General features: G+C 37.7%; 1 long non-coding RNA gene across 1 annotated transcript in view; it reads left to right on the top strand.

Annotated features, from left to right (window-relative positions):
- The window catches only part of LOC105378178 (uncharacterized), an 894,025-nt gene that overhangs the window by 536,843 nt on the left and 332,002 nt on the right, over positions 1-25,180 (top strand). The window contains exon 5 of the long non-coding RNA XR_007064152.1: positions 14,713-14,792. This is a non-coding gene — a long non-coding RNA (uncharacterized LOC105378178). The remainder of the gene's footprint in view (positions 1-14,712; positions 14,793-25,180) is intronic.

Genomic DNA, 25,180 nt, shown 5'->3' with positions numbered 1-25,180 from the left:
TAGGCTACACACCTGTGTAGCATGTTGCTATAATGGACACTGCAGGAAATTATAGTACAATGGTATTTGTGTATCTAAGCATATCTAAATATAGAAAAGTTACAGTAAAAATATGGTATAAGAGATTTTTTAAAAATAGCACACCTGTATAGGGCACTTACTATGAATGAGGCTTGTAGGACTGAAAGTTGACCTGGCTGAGTCAGTGAGTGGTGAGTGAATGTGAAGGCCTAGGACACTACGGTACACTGTTATAGACTTTATAAACATTGTACACTTACGCTACACTAAACTTATTTTTAAAAAGTTCTTTCTTCAATAAGAAATTAGCTTACCAAAACTTTTTTACTTTATAAACTTTTAATTTTTTTTAACTTTTTGATTCTTTTATGATAACACTGAGCTGGAAAGAAAAATACATTGTACAACTGTACAAACATATTTTTGTTCTGTATATCCTTATTCTATAAGCCATTGTCTTTCTTTCTTTTTTTTCTTTTTTTTTTTTTGAGATGGAGTCTTGGTCTGTCACCCAGGCTGGAGTGCAGTGGTGCAATCTCGGCCCACTGCAACCTCCGCCTCCCAGGTTCAAGCAATTCTCCTGCCTCAGCCTCCTGGGTAGCTGGTATTACAGGTACGCACCACCACGCCTGGCTAATTTTTGTATTTTTAGTAGAGACGGAGTTTCACCTTGTTGGTCAGGTTGGTCTCGAACTCCTGACCTCATGATCCGCCCACCTCCCAAAGTGCTGGGATTACAGGCGTGAGCCACCACTCACAGTCCGCTATTTCCTATTTTTTTAATTTTTAAATTTTTTTTAACCTTTTAAACTTTTTGTTAAAAACCAAGACACAAATACACACATTAGCCTAGGCCTATAAAGGGTCAGGACCTTCAATATCATTGTCTTCCACCTCCACATCTTGTCTCATTAGAGGCCTTCAGGGGTAAAAACATGCCTAGAGCTGTCATCTCCTATGATAACAATACCTTCTTCAGGAATACCTCCTGAAGGACCAGGCCAAGACGGTTTTATAGTTAACTTTTAAAAAAATAGGTAGACAGAACACACTCTAAAATAACAATATAAAATATAGTATAGCAAATACATAAACCAGTAAGATGGTCGTTTATTATCATTTTCAAGCAATGTGTACTGTACATAATTCTATGTGCTATACTTTTCTATGACTGGCAGTGCAGTAGGTTTGTTTACACCGGCATCACCACAAACCATTTTCCAATGTGCAGTAGAGTTCAATAAATAAATATCTATAAACAAAATAAGATGTATAGATCCGTAGAGTGGCCACATGTGGAGAAAATGGACTAATGATGAGGGAGAGATGATCAAGCATGATGACTATGAGAGGAGGAGCAATTCTGGTGGTGAAGACAGATGAATATTTCATTTTTAGACATATTTGTGGGCACTGGTGTAGCCATAGAGAGGCCTTTGTGTACTGGGGCCTCAGAAGAGAGGTGTGAATTCAGGGTATGGATAGTAGTAGTTGTAATTATGGAAATAGGTGCCTTCACCTGGAAGGAGCTTACTCGGTGAACAGAGACAGTGCTGGGTAAGGAACCCCAGGGAACCCCACTATTCTGGATGCACATGGGAGAAGACTGATAGAAGAGCTGAGGAAAAACCACCAAGCAAACACAACAGGTGTGCTTGATATGATGGAAGTCGTGGGATAAGTTATTTCAATCCATTTAAATGGCTTGATATTCCAGGTTTTTAGCTCTTTCTATAAAAATAGGACTCAGGAGCTCTTCGTGAGGCATCACAACATTTTCCTGATGGGTGCCCTGTTCTTAAGCACGCACGTTCCTCTGGGATTTTATCTGTCCTGGTCTCTGGGTATCTTTGGGCCCTGCCTTCCATTATTCTTTCCCTAGGTTTCACTAGGCAAATTCTTTCTGTCTCATGTTTAATGTTATGAAAATTTAATGTGGCCCAGAGACTATACTTTTAACTCTAAAGTTTTCTCTATTCCAAGACCAGCAGAAAGGTTATCAAAGTATACAATTAAAGGTGCCTGAGATGCCTTCATTCAGAGCCAAAGTTCATCATGTACCTATAAACACTGAGTCTTACTGCTGATATTCTTTACCTATCACTAGGTGTGAGAATACAGGCATGTACACAGTGCATATACTCAGAAAGGAACCATTTGATGTTTTGTTTTCTCAAAGCAAGCCACTTGACCTGGAGTAGCCAAGAATAGGTAAACCAGTGTGGAAAGCTGGATTTCTGAAAACCAGTAAGATTATTTTATTAGGAAATTTTCCTGACTGTATGAAAACAAATGTAGTTTTAAAGTAAATTTGAAGCAGATTGTGAGGAAGGAGGAGAGTGAGAGTCTCTGGTGGTTTATCTGCTTATTTTGAATAAAGACATTCTTAGAAATCTGTGAACCGAGAATCTGTTGTATAGTTTCAGTTGATCCTAGTCAAACAGAAGATTATTATCAGTGAATACAGAAACCATGCTGCCACTCCTATTTGGAATGTGCAGGGTATTCTTTCTAACTTCATCACTGGGATTATTACACGGTAAACTCTCTATCATTATAAAAGGTTTTTGAGTATCTCATATACAAGTACTGTGCCAACAGCCAAATTATAATAGCCAAAAACACTGTGAAGACTCAGCTGCTGGTTCCAGCTGAAATTTGTCAACATTCTTGGAATTCTATCTTTATCTGCCTAATTCAGTGACTAAAGGAATTAGGGGGACTACCACAGAAAGAGCTAAGTAATTAAATAACTTTACACAGTCAAGATGATTTCCATTTGAACCAAGCTTTTTATTGTTGTTGTTATTCCTTCCTAACTCCTCTTTTCACCCCATCTGTATATTTGCACAGAGCAGCTTAACAAAGCAAATTGCAGAAAATGAGTCTGGCAACAATATAGGAAGAACGGAATTAGAGGAAAATGGATAGTGACTAAAGTAATTGTGCATATGGCTTTAAAAAAAGGACAAGGTCAAATGAAATACCTTACATTTATCATTATATGAAACCAGGAGACAAATGGGGACTCAACAGGCAGGAAATTAGACATGGGATTCACATATTGTTCATGTGACTTTCATACTTGAGTCTCAGCTCATCGTCATGAAAGTCACCTTTCTGCTTCTCCTGGAATTCTAGCTCTTATGACATTTTTGCTGAGCTACCCCTCTAGTCATTTATTCATTCATCCTAATAGTCTATGGCAGTACAGAGGCCACATCACAAGGCACAGTCTTTCTGCTTCTGTAAATGAGTTCAACCACTTCAAAAGCCGCTCCCTTTGTTCCTTGATTTCTTTTTTGAGCTCCTAGCAACCACCATTGTGTCAGATTCTAAATTTAGATGCATTTCATACATCTCTCTGAATCTCTAAATTATACTCCATCAATGCACAGCTGAGATTAAACCGTGGGCTCTTCAGTCAGGGTAGAGCTAACTACTGTACACATTTCTTTATGCATGGAAGCCTTACTAAAGTAGATGCATAGAAAGAAAAGGCAAAGCTGAGATCTGTTACAAATGGTGGAGCTACTAAGCTCAGTCATTTGTTACTTTTGGAATATCCCTCTTTCTCCTCTCTGTCATTATGAATTCCTCACAGTAAATTCTATAAATTCCATACTTAATTTCTCAGGACTTCCAATGCAAATAATAATTTCTAGTTAGATTGGTTCATGCAACCTGGTAATTTAAGTCAGGTGAGGTCTCTTCGTAAAAAGTTTAGAAGGAGGCAATTGGTCTACACAGGATTTTTGAAGAAATATTCCTCAACATTTAGACCTGTAAAAGGATGACGGCAGTTTTTGATAGACTTTACCTCCCTTGCGTGGGCTTTCACAGCCCCCTAGAAGGAGAGAGGCTGGGAAGCACTGCGACGCTGAATTGAAAACCTGAAGGCATTGGTATGTTACATGCCAACAAAAGTGTAAAAGACAGGAAGTGTGCTGGGTGTGCTGCTGTATGCCAGCTGAACTCTGAAAACGTCTACACCAATGGTATTCTTTATTGTCTCAACTTTCCTTTCAAGACTCATATTTAAGAAATTGTTACCGGCGGGGTGGGGGTCCTTGCTCCCAGAGCTCCCAAGATGGTGGCGGCCACTTCCAAGATGGTGTCGGGCCACTTCCAAGATGGTGGCAAGCCTCCTGTTCTCTGACCTGGGGTTCTTGGCCCCACGGATTCCAAGGAATGGAATCTTGGGCCATGCGGTGAGTGTTACTGCTCTATTAGAAACCGTGGGTCACAGAATAGAATAGTGGAACCCAGTGACTAGTGTTCAGCTTGATTAGGACGAACCCAGGCACTTAGCTGTGCAGGAACAATGGCAAGCCTTTAGCCCGATCGGTAGTGGCAATGGGCGCCTTGCTTGATCAGAAGCACAGCGGACACCCTGCTGGATCTGGAGGGATGGGAGTTAGCGGTGGGTCTGCCACGGCAACAAACAACAGTGGTGGATGGTGAGCGAAAGCTCAGCTTGAGCCGTAACAAACACGGACCAGAAGAGTGCAGTTGCAAGATTTAATAGAGTGAAATAGAGTGAAAACAGAGCTCCCATACAAAGGGAGGGGACACAAAGAGGGTAGCCATTGCTGGCTCGAATGCCTGGGTTTATATCCTGATCATTGTCCCTCCTGCTGTGCTCTCAGGCAATAGATGATTGGCTATTTCTTTACCTCCTGTTTTTGCCTAATTAGCATTTTAGTGAGCTCTCTTTACTCCCTGATTGGTCAGGTGTGAGCTAAGTTGCAAACCCCGTGTTTAAAGGTGGATGTGGTCATCTTCCCAGCTAGGCTTAGGGATTCATAGTCGGCCTAGGAAATCCAGCTAGTCCTGTCTCTCAAAATGATTGTGCATCCTTCATCTTCTTAATTCCAGATAAATTATGATAATCTAAAATGTCTGCAAGATGAGAGTTTCTCCTATTTTTAAAGATATTCAAGGAATAAATTCTTAGGCCTTTAATAAGAACTAATTTCAGTGTTTCTACATTCAGAGAAATGAGAAACTCACACATAATTTCTTGGATCATCTAATTTGAGCAGCTAATTATGAACCAGAGGTTAAGAATAAATTTTCTGGAAACCTGGCAGCAAAGCCTTTAGAAAACAGCAATGATAACAACAAAATTCCTCCTTCACATTGTTGCAAGTTTTCTTGTTCTTGTTAGTTGCTCTGCAGATTCATAATGTGTAGCAAATACCGAACACTCTGTAAAGATGTACTCACTAAAGAAATTATGAAATAAATGCACATTAAACAGTAAGGGAACCAGGAGCAAATTTATGAACATACAGGCAGTCCCTGCTTCACTTCCTATCTCTTAACCTCTTAAGGCTCAGATGAGGCTTCCTTCTAGGCCAGCATCAAGTCCAGTGACTGCTTACACCTCTCATATTACATCTGAAGGTGTTTATTCTCAATCTAATAGCCAAAATATTTTCATTTTTTCCACACTTGACATATATTTATTGAGTTTATGTTATGTGTGTATGCTTTCCTAGGGTCTTGGGATAAAGAAAAATTATGCCCATAAGCACTGCATGATCTAAGCAGATGTTGAATGTGAAGAAATATAGTAATTGCAATAAAACTAATAACATAAGGCTTTTGGCATTACTGAGTTTATCGTTCATTGTTTTGGCTATTTGAAAGTGTTTCCTAAGCTCATGTCATGAAAACAGTCACTTCTTTTGAGGCACTGATGTGATCATTAGTGTTGTGATCCTGGCACGGTTAGGCTCATCAGGTCTTAACTGTAACCGGCTCCATTTGATGTCTTCATCTCATCAAAGCTTTGCTTATTAGGGTATGATCATGAGTCTCTATGCATACAAGAACTCTTTGGAATTGTAATCTTTGAAAATTCAGGTTGGTGGGGGCTCTTTTTCAAGAGCCTGTATTAGGTATCTCAGTTGAACTAATGACAGAAAAATCAACTGTGTCAGGGAAGCCTGGGCAAGCTTCACAGAAGGGAAGATAGTTAACCTTCATCTCCAATGATCAGTGGGAACTTCCTAAGTACTGAATCGGGGAGGGATACTTCAGGTTCTAGAAAACTAGCACAGGCAGAGACATGGAAGCATAACAACTTCCAATGGATGGCATATTTGTGACTCACTATGGCTGAAGCATAGAAAATATGTAGGACATGTTTCTGGAATATGAACTCTATGTGATAGGTTGAGAAGAGCCCATGCTGAATTTGAAATTCAGAAAAAACAGAATTAGATTGCTTTTAATGTTAGTTGGGTCAAAAATTATGTGAAAGAATGCTTTTTATATTCTGTTTTTGAGGAATTCTGTTTTGTTTTGGATTAACTCAGAAGCTGATCCTAAAGCAAAAATTTGAGTAAAAGGCAGTAAAAGCAGACTTTTATTTTAAAAATATTATATCATTAATTATTTTTTATATTTTAGATGATCCCAGAATACCACTTATAGATCCCAGGCCAGTGAAACAGTGAAACAAGGCAGCTGAGTTTGTTATCATGCTAGTTACTCCTTTAAGTACATGCAGACAAATTCCACTGGGGAATTCTGAGAGTCAGTATAAAATTAACGTTTAAGAGTTCTCCCCAGAGCATGCGGAATTCTGGCTTCCTGAGCAGATGACAAAGTGGGCTGAGATGGCTGGAATAAACTCTGCAAAAACTAAATGTGAGTCCTGGCAGGTGGATATCACTGCAGTGGTAGGGCAGAAGGGTCTAGGGCAGGGTAGCAATGTCATCTACTGTAGGGAGGATTCCAAGGATATGCTGACAGGGGAAAAATGCTGCTTATGTTTTTACAAACCTGTCACCACAACTAGAAAACTATTTTAAGACATATATGGGAAGTTCATTGGCTTTGAATTTTATATTCCTCTACACATTCCTCTACATTGTTGATCTCTTACTATTTTTGATAAATTTTTCACTTATTTTCATTTTATTTGATTGTCATATAACCTCTGGACATATGTAAGGCCGATGGAATCATTTTTGTGTTACAGATGAAGAAATTGATTTCAGAGGAATTAAACACTTAAATGGCTTATATGACTGTAGTTAAAACTAAGTTCTGATTCCTACTGCTGCAAAAGAACATTTAGCTTGTCTAGGTCACACTCAGTGGTGATTCATTTAAAAAATTAAAATTTTATTGCAATTTAGAAACAATCCAAATATTATTTGCCAGTTATTTTTCTACCAAGTAGAAAGATACTATACAGGGAATTGTATCCTTTGACCAGGGATGTAAAAAGATGTGGGCCATAAATGCTCTCTACAGAGAGCAGACATGAAGACTTGAGTTGCAAAAGTTGAATTATGATGGTTAGGGACTCTGGCTTGAGAGAGGAGTCATGTTATAGTAGAGAAAGGTGAGTATTATGGCAGGTGGAGTTGAGTTTCAATTGGTACTTCATGAGTTGCAGAGTTACAAAGTAGATTGGGGGAGATTGCAACTAGGTTATGAGAAACATTGAACAGATGGGCTTATATGACCATGGGTCAAAAACAGGTATGCAAACTGGAACAAAAAAACCCATTGCAAAGATGAGATTGGTGATCAAAGATCTGTAGTGTGACAAATAAATCAAAATATACCAAAAATGCATGACAAATTAGAAGGCTAGTCATTAGATAATTAGTCTTGGCAGCAGGAAATGGGATTACATTGTAGGAAGAATCAGTCCTGGGCAGTAGTATCATCATCTGCTGTTAACAGAATTTTATATTTTAATGCTTTATCACCTTTGGGAAGCTCCTTACAAGTCTTCCTGCTTCAGCAAGAACGAATTCTATGGAATGGCATTTGGGAAGAAAATGGCATAAAATGATATGAAAATTTTTATGTATTTTGTTTCATTGAAAATATGTCATATAGAAAAGGAATAGACTTCAAAAATTACTGCCAGTTGCAAACATGCATTACATTTTTAATGAGAGAGAAGATGTTACCAATGCATTTCAAATCCATTATGAGCAAGAAGACATTCAGGGCAGACCTGAGCTCCAGTGAGTGGCTTTTATCTGTAACACTCACAGACACTACAAGTCTTGTGAGGCGAGCATTCTAAGGCAGTTGTTACAAAGTTCGTCTGTCCATTCTGAACACCATAAAAGTACTGGCTGCCGCACACTTTTGACTCACTTCAGCTCAGATGGCATTCTAATTTTTTTAATCACTGGAAGAGAAATCTTTAGCTTAGGACTTAAAAAAGATAATAAAAGGATTACTTGAAAATTACTTAGACTATAAAATGAATTATTCATAGTTCATATAACAGCTTAAACATGAATAAACAATACATTATAATGAATATGCAAGTTGATTCCGATGCTAACCTACAATCTGTCTTTACCATGGAATTGGTGGAAGCTTTAGGTAGTTTGTGGTAAATATTCATCTCCTTTTTGGTCTAGTTTGACTGTCAACTCCTGCTTCCTTTTGCCTGATTCTTGGCTATTCACTAATTCTTTTTCTGTCCCTCACACATTCTGTGCCATCCTTGTTAGAATATTCATGCCATTCTTAATCTAAGTTTTCTAAAAAATTGCAGAGAACTATTGGTAATTACTGTCTGCAATTGATGAAAGATCAACATTAGCTATCCTGTCCATCTCTACACCTGTCTTCCTTGTCTCTCTTTTGCTTCAGTCAGCTTCATTGCTCTCTTTCTTCCTTCACTTGTCCTCTCCTCTGCTAATGGTGTTGGTGAGTGCTGAGAGGCCTGAGAGGTACACAGAAGAACAGGTTCCATGTATTTTTGAGCTGCTAGTATCTTTCCTTTTGACTGTATATCTTTCAGGATTATTTCATCTCCTTGTATAGCCTCTGAAAAATGTATTCAATATGCAAGTATAAAACATAAATCTTTATATGTGCATTACAAAAATCTGTGTGTCTCCCCCAGCTGCATAGCTTTTTGGGAAAAGAGATTAATGCCTAAGTTTTGGTACACTAGTAGTGTTTCTCTGATTTGATAGAATCTAAAAATTTCCCTCCATTGCCCATATACATTGTTTTACCTAAGGAATAACTTAAAAATTAGCACCATTCCCCCAAACCCTCACCCCACTTAGCTCAGGATTCTATTATTTGACCCAATTTATGTAGATCTCTAGGTTTTCATGGTCTGAACATAAGTTGGAAGGCAGGGAACTCCATGTTCTGTTGATTTCCAAATTCTTTTTGGTTAATAGAGATGCCACACTTAGATACCTTATTAGGGAAAAGTTCAAGTTCAGTTTAGTTTGAAATCACCAAAGTAGTTCATCTTCAGTTAGGCCATTACTCAAAAAGACAAACCTAAATTCATAGCTAAACGAAAGATTTTGTGTTCATTACGTGTCAAATTTCAGGTTGCACCTTGATGGTACGGATCTGTCCAAACTGACACAAGGTTGCTGGATAGAATCAATGCTTTTAGAAGACTGATTCCTTGATGAAGAGGTTATAGTGTAATGGTTCCATGGCAGTATCACTGGGAAAATTTTTGCATTTGTTCAGCCACAGTGTTTAACTTTGAAGTGAACATGGATTTTTATGCTTACTTTAAGTCTTGTTTCAAGTTATAATACCAAAGAACAGATATCTCTGGATTCTAAGTTATTTGTATTTTTTCTCCACAGCCCTGGGAGTGTATCTTATGAAGTTCAGAATAAGTTAGCTTTTTCAGTAATTTCTTTCTAAGGTTGTCTCTGGCTTTTAGATTCCCTTTAGATTTACATTTCACTCTCCTTAGCCCCCAGCCCAACTTGGTATAATTCCTTCCTTTACGTTTCCTTGTCATGGACATGAGATAAAATAAATGACCTCTTCACCCTCCTTCACTTCCATTTTCTTTCTTGGCTTCTATCATTCTAATTCCACTATCTCATTCTTCTATATATTCGTGATGACAGAGTTCAAATAATGGGAAGACAGGTATTTGGCCATGTAAAGGCTCTCTTTCTTGTATTAGAAGTGCCTTTGAGGTTGACACTTCAAGTCAAAGCTCTGTAGTCTTTTGATATTGAATAACAAATTGAAAAGAGGTCAAAGGATAAAAAATCTAGTACAAATAGTGTGAATTTATGCATTTTGACGGTATCAATGCCTCGGACACATGCAAAGTGCAAGACTGAAAGGTGAAGCTCCTGGTATGGATAAGGAGGTAATTCCAGGAAATTTGACTTTCATATTGAATGCTATTAATGGAACAACTGAAAATAAAGGCTAAAGATAAGTTGTAGTAAGGAGAACAGGTAGCTGAGGGACAACCTTGAACTGGTCTCTCAAAAAGCCATCAAGTTGCTCTGATATCTTTCAGAGGTTGTCTCAGAAAATGTCTATCAGATGAAAAAATTGTACTGTACTGTCTTAAAGTTTTTAAAAATATTTTTAACATTTATATTCAAGTATCAGATTCAACTTGAGTCATTCTATCCTATGACACCTTTCTAATAATTTAACCTATTGTATCTTGGTCTATCTGTATCTGAAAAGATTTATTCAAAATGAAGCCAGTGGAAGTTCAGTCATAAATTATTCCCAGTGGGGTCAAACAAAATCATAGTTTATCTAATAATATAGAACAGCAGTAATTTATATGTCTGAATCTTAGGGTTTCAGATTGGTTCAACTCTCAGTTATTCTGAAGTTAAGTCTTTCTGTATTGAAAATTTCAGAAGAGTGAAAGCACTTAAAAATTTTTGGATTCTGAAGCTTAAAGCCAATAAAGTAAAAAAAGGTAAATAGGTATTAGGGTGGTGCAAAAGTAATTGTGATTTTTGCCATTATTTTTAATGGCCAAAACTGCAATTACTTCTGCACCAACTAAATACATTTTTGTGGAAAGGGTAATATGTGAAGGAAAAGATAAGTCTTTGACCACCTCCATACTAATTGCTTATAAAATCAAAATGTTGAAGTCATTTTTAGTAAAACCCAGATATCAGCAATGATTATTAATGTAAATCAATAAATTAATAAATCAATAATAAATTTGGAGAAACTCCCCAGTGTCTTCTGTTGTGCCTCTGATCCCCTCTCTGCTTTCCTCTACTCTGCTCTCTGCAGAGGCTGACCAGTTTAGACTCGGCAAATGACCTGCTTGGCCTCTGTCTTAGCACCAGGTTTTTGAATATGGAGCACTCAGAAGAGTTTGGGAAATGGGAGTAAAGTCAGTGTCCTTAATTTCCTAGTACCCTCTCTTCAGGGTTACCACTGGCTGACTGTTTTCCGTAAGACAAGGTAACTCTTGGCAGCCTGTACATTAAGATCTCCTTTTTTGGCTCTATTCCTCTGTCTTCAAGTTCTCATCATACTCTTCTTCCCTTTACCTCTTCAGTGTAGTAACAGAACCTCATTACTAGTCCCCAGTTAATGCCATGATAATTTTCTTACATATGGCCACACTTTTTAAGTAATGGTTTTATTAAAGTCTCCTTAAATTACCATTTGGATATGCCATCTCTTTCTTGCCAAGACCCTGAAGGATACAGCAGCTATTGGACAGATGAGGGGAAGCACTCCCAATATTTCAGCTTATTAGCTATGTACATTTAGGCAAATTATTCAACTTCTTTAAGCCTCACCTTTCTCATATGTTAATGAGGCCAATCATTCCTATTTTTGACAGACAGAATCATTGACCCTCAAAGATATCTACCTGTAATCCCCCAAATCTGTGAATTGTTATATTCCATGGCAAGGGTGAATTAAGACTGAAGTTGGGACTAAGGATGCCAGTCGACTGACTTTAAGTAAAGGGATTATCCTGGATTACCCAGGTGGGCCCAGTGCAATCACAAGGTACTTAAATGTGGGCAAGGGAGGCAGAAGAGTTAGTGTCAACGTTATGCATATGCAATGTGAGAAAGACTTGACTTACCTTTCCTGGCTTTGAGGATGGAGGAAGGGGCCATAAGCTAAGAAATGCAGGCCACAAGGAAATGCAGGCCACAAGGAAATGCATTCTCTTTCACAGCCTCCAAATGGAAAACAGCCTTGCCGAAACTTTCATTTTAGCCCATTGAGACTCATTTTGGACTTGTGACCCCTGGAACTGTAAGATAATTTTTGTTGGTTTAAACCACCAAATTTCTGGTAATTTGTTACTTCAGCAATGAAAAACTAGTACACTATTTTACTGACTTGTTTTGAGAATTGGATGAAATAATGTAAGTGCTCAAGTTTCAGAACATGAACACTGGAGTTATATAGATATAGCTATGTGTTTTGAGCCTCTGTATGTCAAAAAGTAACTGTTACCTTAATGTTTATGATATTAGTTTTCATACAATCAGTAGTATTTGTTTGAGAACTAAACTTGTTCTAAAATGGATTTTTCTTTCTATGAATGTTTTAACAGGGAATGCCTTGTTTAGTTTTGACAAGTTTTCTCTATGCTAGCTGTTTTTAGACTCAGAAATATCCCCCTTATGGTGGAGTTGGCAACAGTCAAAGACAGACAAAGGCTGTTGGATGTGTACACTTGTGATAACTGCCACACTTCAAAGTGTTTGCATAGGACCATGTTTATTCAAATGGACTCTTTAATTGCCAAGCAATGAATATAGAATGGAGGACCCATTTTAATTTATGGCCATAGATGGATTTTAACTCAGGGTTTGTGTTTATAAATGTACATTTCTTCCACAGTAAGCAGGATATGCAGACATGTAGGAGGTCTAACCGGCTGCTGAAAACTTGGACCCTCAGGGCCTGACTACAGAGGCTGGATGGACTTGCCTACTGTGTGCAGGTCCAACTCCTGCTTGGCTTACTGCACTGAAGTCACTATCTTTTGGGCTGACATCCAATTTTGGCATCATTTATCTACATGAACAGGTGCTCCCATAAAATGAGCTGCATAAAAAGCAAATGCTATGGCAGAGCTCTATGATTTCTCACTTGTTTGTATACAGGATATGTTTGGAGGCAGGCAAGGTTTCTCCACAGGCTTAAGAAGGTGAACAGAGAAAATACAGAAACCAACTTATTCCAGTGCAAAATAACTTAAAAATCTAGAAGGTTTTATTTCAAATAACTTCTTAAAAACACACAAATTCCCCTAATCCTTTAATATGATTTATGTTACATTTCATGGTATCAGGTTGGGTTAGCATGTATTTAATATTTAGCACAGTGTTAGAATAAAAGGGCAATGGATGGAATGTATTCAGAAGTGATTAGGGTGGGGCAAACAGGGTGGAGTGAAGGCTGGAGCAAGGAATTAAGGTTTGTCAAAATGGAAAACAACATATTTAATTCCAATCAAATGTTTCTGGAGCTCTGACATTTGCCAAAGTATTGGGGTGACTACTGAATAAATAAATCTCTGGAAAAAGTTCAGGAGATAGTCGTAAACATTTAAGAAGAAATAAAATCATAGTTTACCTAATTATATAAAACAGTAATTTATATGTCTGAATCTTAGGACTTCAGATTGGTTCAACTCTTAGTTATTCTGAAATTAAGAAGTCTTTCTGTATTGCAAATTTCAGAAGAATGAAAGCACTTTCAAATTTTTTTCTTAGAAATCTCTTACGAATTTCTGAGGCCTAAATGACCCTAGTAGAATAGAGGATCTGTCTAATGTGAATAAATGCTCATTTTTCAAGACATATCTTGTTCATCTCAGTGTACCAACTCAAAAGGCTAGCTCTCCTTAAATTCTAAGAGGACAATGCAGTGTGTTATAGGCAAGGGACAGTTAGAAAATAAATATAATATCCTTATATTATCACCTCCTCACTGTTAATTATCACAAAATTGAAATATCATCCCTTAGGGGAAAAACAAAATGAGAAAGAACTGCTAGTTTATTTTAAAATAAATGTCCAAATTTTAATATTTAAAGTTGTGTAATTTTTAGATAAGGAAAAAATGTAAAATGAAACATTAAAAAAAAGAACATATGTATCTCCACTTACATCATTCACATAAACAAAATGTCATTGTGTTGGCAACTATATGCTCTAAATGTGGCTTCAATTTGAATTTTACAGGAGTTTTGATGTTTTACATGATGTACCATGTGGTTGGAATCTACTTTTTATGTACTAGATTTAAAGAAGCTGATGCTTTTTTAAAAATTTTTTTGGTGTATAGATGGAATATCCAGCATTAATTCCCCACCTCCCAGAATTATTTATGGCAATTAGGATGATACATTAAAAAACAGTAAGTCTTTGCTTAATGTTTTCAATCAGTTCTTGGAAACTGTGACTTTAAGCAAAATGACATATAAGAAAACCAATTTTACCAGAGGTTAATTGATATAACAAGAGTTAAGTTTGTAAAGCACATTTCTGGTTTACAAAAAAAAAAGAGATCACCAAATTTCTAAACAAAACCAAAACACTTCTAATATTAAACATTGAAATAAATGTGACCTATACATGCCTTTAAGAAAGACTAATAAAAAATGATAATTCTTTACCCAGTTGCTTGTGAATCAGTGAGTAATGGTGGTTGTAGCAGTAGTAGGTTAAATCAGGGGTAAACGTTTACAAAGCGAAAATTGCAAGGCATGCTTCTTACAATAATGTAATTCAAAAACAACAACAAATGTGTAATTCAAAAACAACAACAAATGTGGTGGGCTCCCTGATCCCTAGTGTACTGCACTATTTATTGTCTTGTATTTGTATGATCATTGTATACTTCATGGATTTTTATTTTATGGTAATTTGTACTCATTCATTCATTCTTTTCCAGTCCACTTATTCCAGTTCAGTGTTGAAGATGGCTGGAGCCCATCCCAGTAGCTCAGGGCAGAAGGCAGGAACCAACCCTGGGTAAGATGTCATGTCATTGCAGAGCTCACTCACACACATCCACTGATATAATTTGGGTCTGTGTCTCTGCCCACATTTCATGTCAAATTATAACCCCAGTGTTGAAGGTTGGACCTGGTGGGAAGTAATTGGATCATGTGGGTTGATTTCCTCTTGGGTGCTGTTCTCCTGATAGTGAGTGAGGTCTCATGAGTTCTGGTTGTTTAAAAGTGTGTAGCACCTCCCACCTTGCTCTCCTTCTCCTGCTCTGTCCATGTAAGATGTGCCTGCTTCCCCTTCAACTTCTGCCATGACTGTAGGTTTCCTGAGGCCTCCCCAACCATGCTTATTGTGCAGCCTGTAGAACCATGAGCCAATTAAACTTCTTTTCTTTATAAATTACCATTCTCAGGTAGTTCTTTATAATAGTGCGAGAATGTATTAATACAGAAAATTGGTACCGGGGAAGTTGGGCATTGCTATTAGAGGTACTGAGAGGTACTTAGAGAAAGAAGAAATAAAAACTAAAAGAGAAAACAAGTTTTCCTGTATTAGGCTGTGTCATCCCAAAAAGCAGTGACAGACACAGCCCAGGCCCAGGCAAGGTCCTGATAACACTATCTAAAAAGTCAGAACCCAAAAGGAATGTTCTCTTGAGACTCTCCCAGCACTCCCCAACATAAGGATAAGAAAAACAAAATTCCTCTTTTAGCCCTTTACCCACTCCCCATAAATATTTTGCAAGTTTTGTAAGTTCCGGTTTCTCCTTCAATGCAGCTGCAAGGTCACAAGCTATGCTGGATATTACGAGACCTGTCACTATTTAATTAACTGTCCTTGTTCTGCTTCTGTAAGCTTGCTTATGAAAATCAAGCCCTTTCTTTGTTCTAGGCTCAGCTTTTTGGATATGAATCCACTGAGCCATTGTACACTTTAATAAAAATCCTCCTGTAATACCCATTTGGTCTTTCCGGTCCTCTAATTACCGCAACAGTACAGGAAAATGTGGAAGCAGCTTTGGAACTGGGTAATGGGTGGAGGTTGGAACGGTTTGGAGGGCTCAGAAGAAGACAGAAAGAGGAGAGAAAGCTTGGAACTCCCTCGAGACTTGTTAAATGGTTGTGACGAAAATGCTGATAGTGATATTGAAAGTGAAGGCTAGGCTGAGGAGGTCTCAAATGGAAATGAGGAACTTATTGGGAACTGGAATAAAGTTCACTCTTGCTTGCTATGCTTTAGTAAAGAGACTGGTGGCATTATGTCCCTGTTCTAATGATATATGGGACTTTGAACTTGAGTTTGATGATTTAGGGTATCCGGTCAAAGAAATTTCTAAGCATAAAAGCATTAAAGATGTGGCTTGGCTGCTTCTAAAAGACTATTCTCATATGCATACACAGAGAAATGATCTGAAACTTGAACTTATATTTAAAAGGGAAACAGAACATAAAAGTTTGGAAAATTTGCAGCCAGGTTATGTGGTAGAAAAGAAAACCCATTTTCAAAGGAGGAAGTGAAGCAGGTGGCAGAAATTTGCATAACTAAAAGAAATGCAAGTACTAATAACCAAGACAATAGGAAAAAGGCCTCAGAGCCATTTCAGAAACCTCCACAGCAGCCCCTCCCATAACGTGCCTAGAGGCATAGGAGGGCAGAATGGTTTTATGGGCCAGACCCAGGGCCTGACCCTGGGCCCTACTGTAGTATGAAACCTCAGGACGTGGTACCCTGCATCACAGTTGTTCCAGCTCCAGCCATGGCTAAAAGGGGTCCAGGTACAGCTCCAGCCATTGCTTCAAAGATTGCAAACCATAAGTGTTGGTAGCTTCTAGGCAGTGTTAAGCCTATGGGTGCACAGTGTGCAAAAGTTGAGGTTTGGGAGCCTCCACCTAGATTTTAGAAGATGTACAGAAAAGCCTGGATGTCCAGGCAGAATCCTGCTGCAGGGGTGAAGCACTCAGGAGGAACCTCTACTAAGGCAATGCAGAGGGGAAATGTGGGTTTGGAGTTCCCACACAGAGTCACCAATGGGGCATTGCCTAGTAGAGCTGTGAGAAGAAAGCCACTGTCCTCCAGACCCCAGAATGGTAGATCCAACAACAGTTTGCACTGTGCACCTGGAAAAGTTGCAGGTAGTCAGCACCAGCCTGTAAAATCAGCCATTGGGGTTGTACCCTACAAAGCCTCAGGGAGAAGAGCTGCCCAAGTCTTTGGGAGCCCACCCCTTCGGCCAGTCTGCCCTGGATGTGAGACATGGAGTCAAGGACATTATTTTGGAGCTTTAATATTTAATAACTGCCCTGATGGGTTACATATTTACACAGGGCCTACAGCCCTCTGGTTTTGGTCAATTTCTCCCTTTTGGAAAGGGAGTATTTACCCAATGCCTATACCCCATTGTATCAGGGAAGTAACTAACTTGCTTTTGATTTTACAAGCTCATGGGTGGAAGTGACTAGGCTTGTCTCAGATGAAACCTTGGACTTTTGAGTTAATGTTGGAATGAGTTAAGACTTTAGGGGACTTTTGGGAAGGCATGATTGTATTTTGAAATGTGAGAAGGACATGAAATTTGGGAGGGGCCAGAGGAAATTGATATGGTTTTGGTCTGTGTCACTGCCCAAATCTCATGTCAAATTGCAGTCCCCAGTGTTGGAGGTGGAGCCTGGTGGGAAGGGATTAGATCATGGGGATGGATTTCTCCTTTGGTGCTGTCTTTGTGATAGTGAGTTCTCATGAGATCTGCTTGTTTAAGAGTGTGTAGCACCCCCCACCCTCTTCACTCTCTTCCTTCCACTCTGGCTGTGAAAGATGTGACTGCTTCCTCTTCACCTTCTGCTATGATTATAAGTTTCCTGAAGCATCTCTAGCAATGCTTCCAGTACAGCCTGGGGAACCATGAGCCAATTAAACTTCTTTTCTTTATAAATTACCCAGTCTCAGGTAATTTTTTATAGCAGTGCAAGAACAGAATAATACATACATACTCACACATACAGGGACCATTTAAGCATGCCCATTTGCCTAACATGCACAGGTTTGGGATGTGTGAGGAAACCAGAGAAAACCCATGCAGACGTGGCAAGAATGTGCAAACTCCACACAGACAGTTTTTTATGAGAGTGAGTTTTTTTTTTTTGAGTTTTTTTTTTTTCATCATCAATGGTATAAGGAAATGACATTGAACAAAACAGTGTTATTTGAGGACCTGTTGTACTTCAAATCTTTTCTTGCTCCAATATTTTTATCTCCAACTACTGTTACACATCCCTACAATTCATCCTTTTCTTAAAGGATTATTAGTGAAGTCTACCAGAACTAATATTGATTCCTATTTAAAGTAAATAAAAGTTTAAAGTTGCCATATACAGCACAGCTAAAAGTTAATTTACAATAGAATGATTTTTTGACCAAAAGCAAAACAGTTATTTGTACAGTGTTAAATACCTTATATTAGTAGTTAAATACTCTTAGAATGAGGGTAAATAAATGTACATCCAGAAGCCTGTAGTCACAGGAATGAAACTTCTCATTCTATTATCTTCTAATTTTAGTATTTAAGTCTTATGATGTCACATACAGTCTGTTAAATCAACCTTAACTGGAAGGACATTGTATTTTATACTTTATAATAATGCACTTATAAAATGTTTTATGAAAATATGTTATGGGGCTGGGCACGGTGGCTCATGCCTGTAATTCCAGCACCTTGGGAGGCCAAGGTGGGTGGATCACCTGAGGTTAGGAGTTCGAGATCAGCCTGACCAACATAGTGCAACATTGTCTCTGCTAAAAATACAAAAATTAGCTGGGCATGGTGACGGGCGCCTGTAATCTGAGCTAGTCAAGAGGCTGAGGCAGGAGAATCTCTTGAACCCGGGAGGTGGAGGTTGCAGTGAGCCGAGATTACACCACTGCACTCCAGCCTGGGTAACAGAGTGAGACTCCATCTGAAATATGTATCTCTATATCTATATCTATAGCTATATCACATATATATGTGAAGGGCAGAGAGAGATGAGGGGAAAAGATGAGCTATTGTTTAATATCTTTTGTTTGAAAAAATAGATTTTTCTATAAAAATTTCCCCTAGATAGAAGCCTAGTCCCATTCTCCCTGTGAATTCTTCCTGATATTTTATATGTCCTTTTAATTTGAGGAAAAACTGGCATGTCTGGTGTTTATGTTCATGTGTCTGAGCAAAAAGCTCAGTTAGTGGCCACATGTGTGTACATACTAAAAATGATTTAATATGCTTAGATGAGTTGTTACATAGTTCATTGAGAAAATTCATCACCGGAAACAGAAAAGTGATATAGTTAGTGAACATCTTTTCATCTCTTTGTGTGGATTAAAATAGCAGTGAGATTACTTTGGAGATCTTTCTCTGGTATAATACTATCATAATGTGGACATAGAACTGAAACTTTATGGTTTATATAGTTTGTATTTCTAACTACATTTGCTTCTTTTTCTTGCAGTACTTCCATGGGCACATGAAAATGATTAAAATTCTGATTATTAATATGAACTAACAAAAAAGAACATCTTCTAAATTAAAATTCAGTGAGAAATTGAATCCCATCACAGTACTCATTTATATTCAAAGAATGCTAATAATCTTCAGTCTTTGTGCATAAGATCAAAAATTCAATCAGTAAATAACCGTAACAACAGAATCCAAAATTGAAAAAGCATAATAGATTTTTTCAAGATACCCACTTGCTGCTATTGATCAAAACTTGATCTAGGTTTATATACTATTAACATGTTGTGTATGGGATTTCACAGATTTATCAATGTAAATGTATCATTAGCAAATGTTTTGGTAATGTTTTCTGTTAGCTGTCTGTCACTCTTAGTTGAAACAGGAGCAAACACAGCCACTGTCTTTCTTTGTGGCAATAATTTCGCTCCAAAGAATTAGCAGCTTTAGGCAAGGAGGTGATTCATATCTTTGTTTATTTGCCAGACAAATGCGACTCATTTGCTAACTTGAAGCACATAGGTACTTCCTACCCTGCTGCTTTCTTAGAGGCAGCTTCATTGCCATCCATATTCATAATATTTGTTTCAAGTTTGGGGTTTTAAGGCATTATTTCAGATATAAAAGTGTCAAAAATATAATGATGCCAGAAAATATTACTTTTACAAGTTTTTGCAATGGATATAAAAGACTATATGGAAAAATACTGATTTGTATTTCTTTTCCTTATCCCTTCTGAATTCAGGGGCTCAGTGTTAAGGGAGTTAGTGGGTTAGGGACCAAACCAGACTTGCGACAATATCTGGAGTGTGTGAAGCCAGAGAGAAAGGATCTTCAATCTGCTGTGAGGTCTTCTACAAAACACAGAGAAAAAGCAGTACCATCTTCCTCTTCCTGTGCAATTAAATCTTGCTGCTGTTCCCTGGAATACACTATACAAACATTTCCAGATTAGATACAGCATGTTTCAGCTTGAAACCTACCATTTGAGAGTCTGTCCTCATATTTGGTGCCGCCCCTCCCCCTCTGCCCATGGTTCCTGTATCTTTCCTGAAAGGCCCATACGCAGTTCTCTCCCTTAGACTTCAGTGTCGGCTGCTTGGAAAGATGACTACTGATATCTTTAGCTGTTATGGCTCTGCAAAGTGAATTGCAAATATACACATAACCCACAATGTATATAAGTCACATTGTCCCAGACATAATTCCCACATTTGGTTAAAATTCCTCCACCATTTTCACGTGATAATTGATATAATAGATTTGTATACATGATTATCTTTATCACATAAAAAATTGATGGGCTTCCTTAAAAAAACATAAACCAGTTAGAAACAGTTCAGCTCCTATGTATCCTTGTCTGGAAAGAGCCTCACCCCAAAGCTGGGAGGGTGAAGTGTCAGACCCAACCTTATCACTAGTACCCTGTATGTAGCACCAGCTGGATCTCAATTTCCTTTCTTTCAAATGGAAAAGTTGGCTCAGATGTTTTGTTAGGCCCCTCAGTCCAGCTCCAGTACAATTTTTGTCGAGGATTTGGTCAAGGGAATTCATGCTTCCAGTAGTTTATTTAAGATTAAACAAAACAAAACAAACCTTGTATGGCCTTAACATGAGATTATATGTCCTGAACATGGATGGGTTTTGCTTTAAGTATTTTTTATTTTTTATTTCTGAAGTATGGATAATATAAAATATTCATAATAACTATATTCCATTTTCAGATTATTGAATAGCTTTGATATAATCATATATGTGTTGTTATGAACATTTATCAGGTGTTGGAAACCAACAGTAAGTTGTAATGGAAAAAAATTCCAGTCAGCTTGAAACAAGAAGTGGCACCATTTCAATAAATAAATGCATTCATGAAATATATGTACCTAAATACATTGTTTGGTGGTGAGTTGTGGAAGACATGAAGGAGGAAGTGGCTAGAAATAAAGTTCTGAAACGACCAACTGTGCCTACTTCTGTTCCAATTCATAGTCAAGAGAATGAAAGGATTTGAGCCTAAGGAAACCCAATGAGGGTAAATAGAGCTCTAATTTGTATTTGGAAGAGGCCAGTTATGAAGTCTGGGGATTTTCAAGAGGCACATGAGTGAATCTTATAATATTGGTAGGATTCTTTATTTTATTTGATTTTACTTTATTTTTCCGTAAGTTGTTGGGGTACAGGTGGTATTTGGTTACATGAGTAAGTTATTTAGTGGTGATTCGTGAGATCCTCGATAGGATTCTTTTCTCCTTTCTTTGGATTACTGGAAGCCCCTGTTAGTCTTGAATTGGGATTTGCCTCCTATACCCAAATTCTCAAATGCTGCAAGTGATGGTTGAACAATAGCCATATGAGTGCTAGCTAGTAGAGTGATAATGTTAGTCACCATAGTTATTTTCATCTTAAATGGATCCTGGAAAAAAATACCGGATGAAAGAATGTTAGTGTCTAGTTTTCTTATAATTCATACTTATAAAGTAGCAAGTGAAAGAAAATATTGCTTAAGGTCTATGCTATTAAAGTTCACCTTTTTGCCTCTATATGGGAAATCATGCATTACATACACTGTGCATAAGCATACTAAAGCTTTACTTAGGTCTTAGGTTAGGATTATATTGGTTTTGGCCAGAAGCCTAAGCAAAACTTTTAGAACAAAGGGAAAAATCTATTTTGAACTTTAGGATAAATTGTAAATTCAAGGCAGATTAGACTAATAGTGAGTTTATGTATATGAAAGTCTATAATACTTTACCACACATTTCATTAAATAAATACATTTTTATTATCAAAAATAACTATTCTGGAAACAGTTTGGGAAAGGCATAATTATGGATGTGTAAGTTTTAAAAAGTTTGCAATTTTCCTAGAATTATTATTGATAAATGCTAGCTAAAATCACCTCCTAGGAAACATGAGATTGGTGTTTTTGTTTTGTTTTTTGTTTGTTTTTTTTTTTTGAGAGGGAGTCTTGCTCTGCTGCCCGGGCTGGAGTGCAATGGCGCTATCTTGGCTCACTGCAAACTCTGCCTCCTGGGTTCAAGCAATTATCCTGCCTCAGCCTCCCGAGTAGCTGGGATTACAGGCACCCACCACCACGCCTAGCTAATTTTTTGTATTTTTAGTAGAGACAGGGTTTCTCTATGTTGGCCAGGCTGTTCTTGAACCCCTGACCTCGTGTCCTTGGCCTTCCAAAGTGCTGGGATTACAGGCATGAGCCACAGCACCCGACTGAGATAGTTTTAAATAAATAGAGCAAAAACGAAAACTATGATTTGATTTTCCATAGCTCATGGGTTCTGTAAATGCAGATTCATTGGAATGAATGTCATCTGCCCCAGGCTGAAAACAAATCACTGAAAATGTGGGTCCGAACTTGGAAAAGGTAAAACTTGGTAGGTTACTGTTCAACTATGACCACTTTTAATTATTTAATATTGATGAGAAAGTTTCTTTTTTTCTAATATGTCAAGAATTTTAAACCTAAGACATGGTTATGAAGATTAATACTTTCTTTTATTTGAAATGGAATCCATATAAAGAACTTTATCGTTCCTAGAAGCTCAATCTACACAATTCACTAATTGCATATGACACAATTTTGAAAGGATTTTAGAAGATTAAGTGCATATGTATGTGATGTTTAATTCTTAAGAATATTATGGCCATTGGAAATAGAACCTAGTTGAGAGAGATTTTTTTTTTCTATCGCAGCTTAAGAGGGGAAGAAGGAAACATTTATGAGAAAAAAATATGAGGTTTCCAGTTCATTCATTCATTCAAGTGTTCATTTAAATATTAAACATCACTAAGTGTGTACTCTCCTAGCATTCTGTAGAGGGGTTTACATTGTTATAAGAGTTCCAGGACAGGATCAATCAAGTGGCTACCTTTTGGGTAAACATTTAAGTAAACTAGAATACTATTCATATGTTCCCATCCTATTTAGAATCTTAAGGTATGGAATTCCTCCAGTGTTTCCAGAATCCTTACAACATACCAGAAGCGGTGTTCAGATTGCAAAATCATGCTAAATGTGGGTTACTTAACCAAATCCCCTGGTTCCATAGAGTTTCCTTACTTATAAAATTTATTGACTAAACTGATGTAAAAGGTATATTTTATTTTCTGTTTTTTTTTTTTTAATGTAACCTAATTATTTTAACTTTGCGTTTTTTTTTTTTTTGTTTTTTGTTTTAAATGGAGTTTTGCTCTTGTCACCCGGGCTGGAGTACAATGGCACCATCTGGGCTCACTGCAACCTCCGCCTCCCGGGTTCAAGCGATTCTTCTGCCTCAGCCTGCCGAGTAGCTGGGGTTACAGACAGGTGCAACCACACCTGGCTAAATTTTTGTATTTTTAGCAGAGATGGGGTTTCATCATCTTGGCCAGGCTGGTCTCGAACTCCTGATCTCAGGTGATCCCCTCGTCTCAGCCTCCCAAAATGCTGGGATTACAGGCGTGAGCCACTGCACCTGGCCTGAGCCACCATGCTCAGCCTAAAATATTTTGAAGAAGATGTAATATTTAAAAATCAGTTTCAATTTTTAAAAAACAGAAAATTTAAAACTTAGCACGTAGTTCTTGACTACTTATCATTTTATACTGTTAAATGTCAGTTCAACCTCAGGTATTCTAACTTCCGAAAACTTACATAGAGAGATTAATGAGAACAAAAGTCATGCTCATTTCTCTTATATAATATGTATAACATGATTTTCCAGGTCAGTTATTAATTTTTGAGGGACATGTAAAAATAGACCTGGAAATATTCACTAAATCTCTGTGGTTGACTAGACAACTCATTGTAAAGAAAGAAACTGAGAAAGCTGTTAAGCATGCCTCTAACATCTGTATCATGAGGGTAAGCAAAATATTTTCATAACTTTATTTGAATTTAGTTTATAAAAGCAGGCCAGTGTTGAAAATATTTGAAATAAAGTTGTGGGTTTGAATCATTTTGGTAGAGTTGGCTTTCAAGTTTAATATTTAGCACATAATTTTCTTGATTCTCTATTATTGTTTGGGAAACATGTTTTGCTAGAACTCAATGGGAAGAAGGGCCTCTCCAGTGTTCCCATTGCTGCAGGCCCCCTTCCTGGAGTATGCACATTTTCACTTGAAGGATAGGGCTTCCTTCCCGGCTGTGTGATCTATATTAATATTAATTTGCCACTTCTCTGCAAGTATCACAAATAAATACCATAGTTAACAGTGTCTGACTCCGTGCTCCTGGGGAGAAATATCCAGGGACTTGGTAGTGCTACCATCTGGATGTACAGAGTGTATCTTTCTAAATAGCAGAAACAGAAGCATGCAGTTGCTACAATCTGTCTTCCTTGCTTGGACGCCCAAAGCAAATATTTTTTAAAGATTTAGGCAATGAGGTGCGTGTGGTGGTAGAACTACAAATAGGCAGGACTAGGACTAGGACTCTGTGTGCTGTTTTACCAAGGTCCATGAGCTTAGGGAATGAGCTAAAATATAGTCTAACCAGGGTCTAGTCATTCATGCTGCAGTTGAACAGCGAGGGATACTTAGCTGGAAGAATGCGGGAGCCATACCATCTCACATTCTCAAGAATGGAACGAACAGTGAGAAGCAGAAAGAGTCTTGCCAACTGCTAGAGGAATGTGGGTTTTTATCAAGCCAAGAAGATTATTCAGAACTTAATTTGGGTCCAAACACACATATCTAACCCCTGAGCTAAGTGTTTAGGTTTCCAAAACAAAGAGAAAACATACTGAGTCCAAGACTTGAGTAATTAAGAATTTAGGTTCAAAAAACCCCAAAAAAGGATAGTCCATCGTAAGTGAAATTCAAACAGGAGTGGATAATAGATCTGGGATTATCTCAGGTAGCAGAATCTCAATGGAACAATGCACTAGAGGCATTCTGGGGCTAAAAATCTCTAGTTGCCTTCTAT

This window comes from Homo sapiens, chromosome 14 (genome assembly GCF_000001405.40).
Source record: "Homo sapiens chromosome 14, GRCh38.p14 Primary Assembly".
Lineage (NCBI taxonomy): Eukaryota > Metazoa > Chordata > Mammalia > Primates > Hominidae > Homo > Homo sapiens.
Note: the sequence above shows the minus strand (reverse complement) of the source record. Positions and strands in the feature narration are given on the sequence as shown.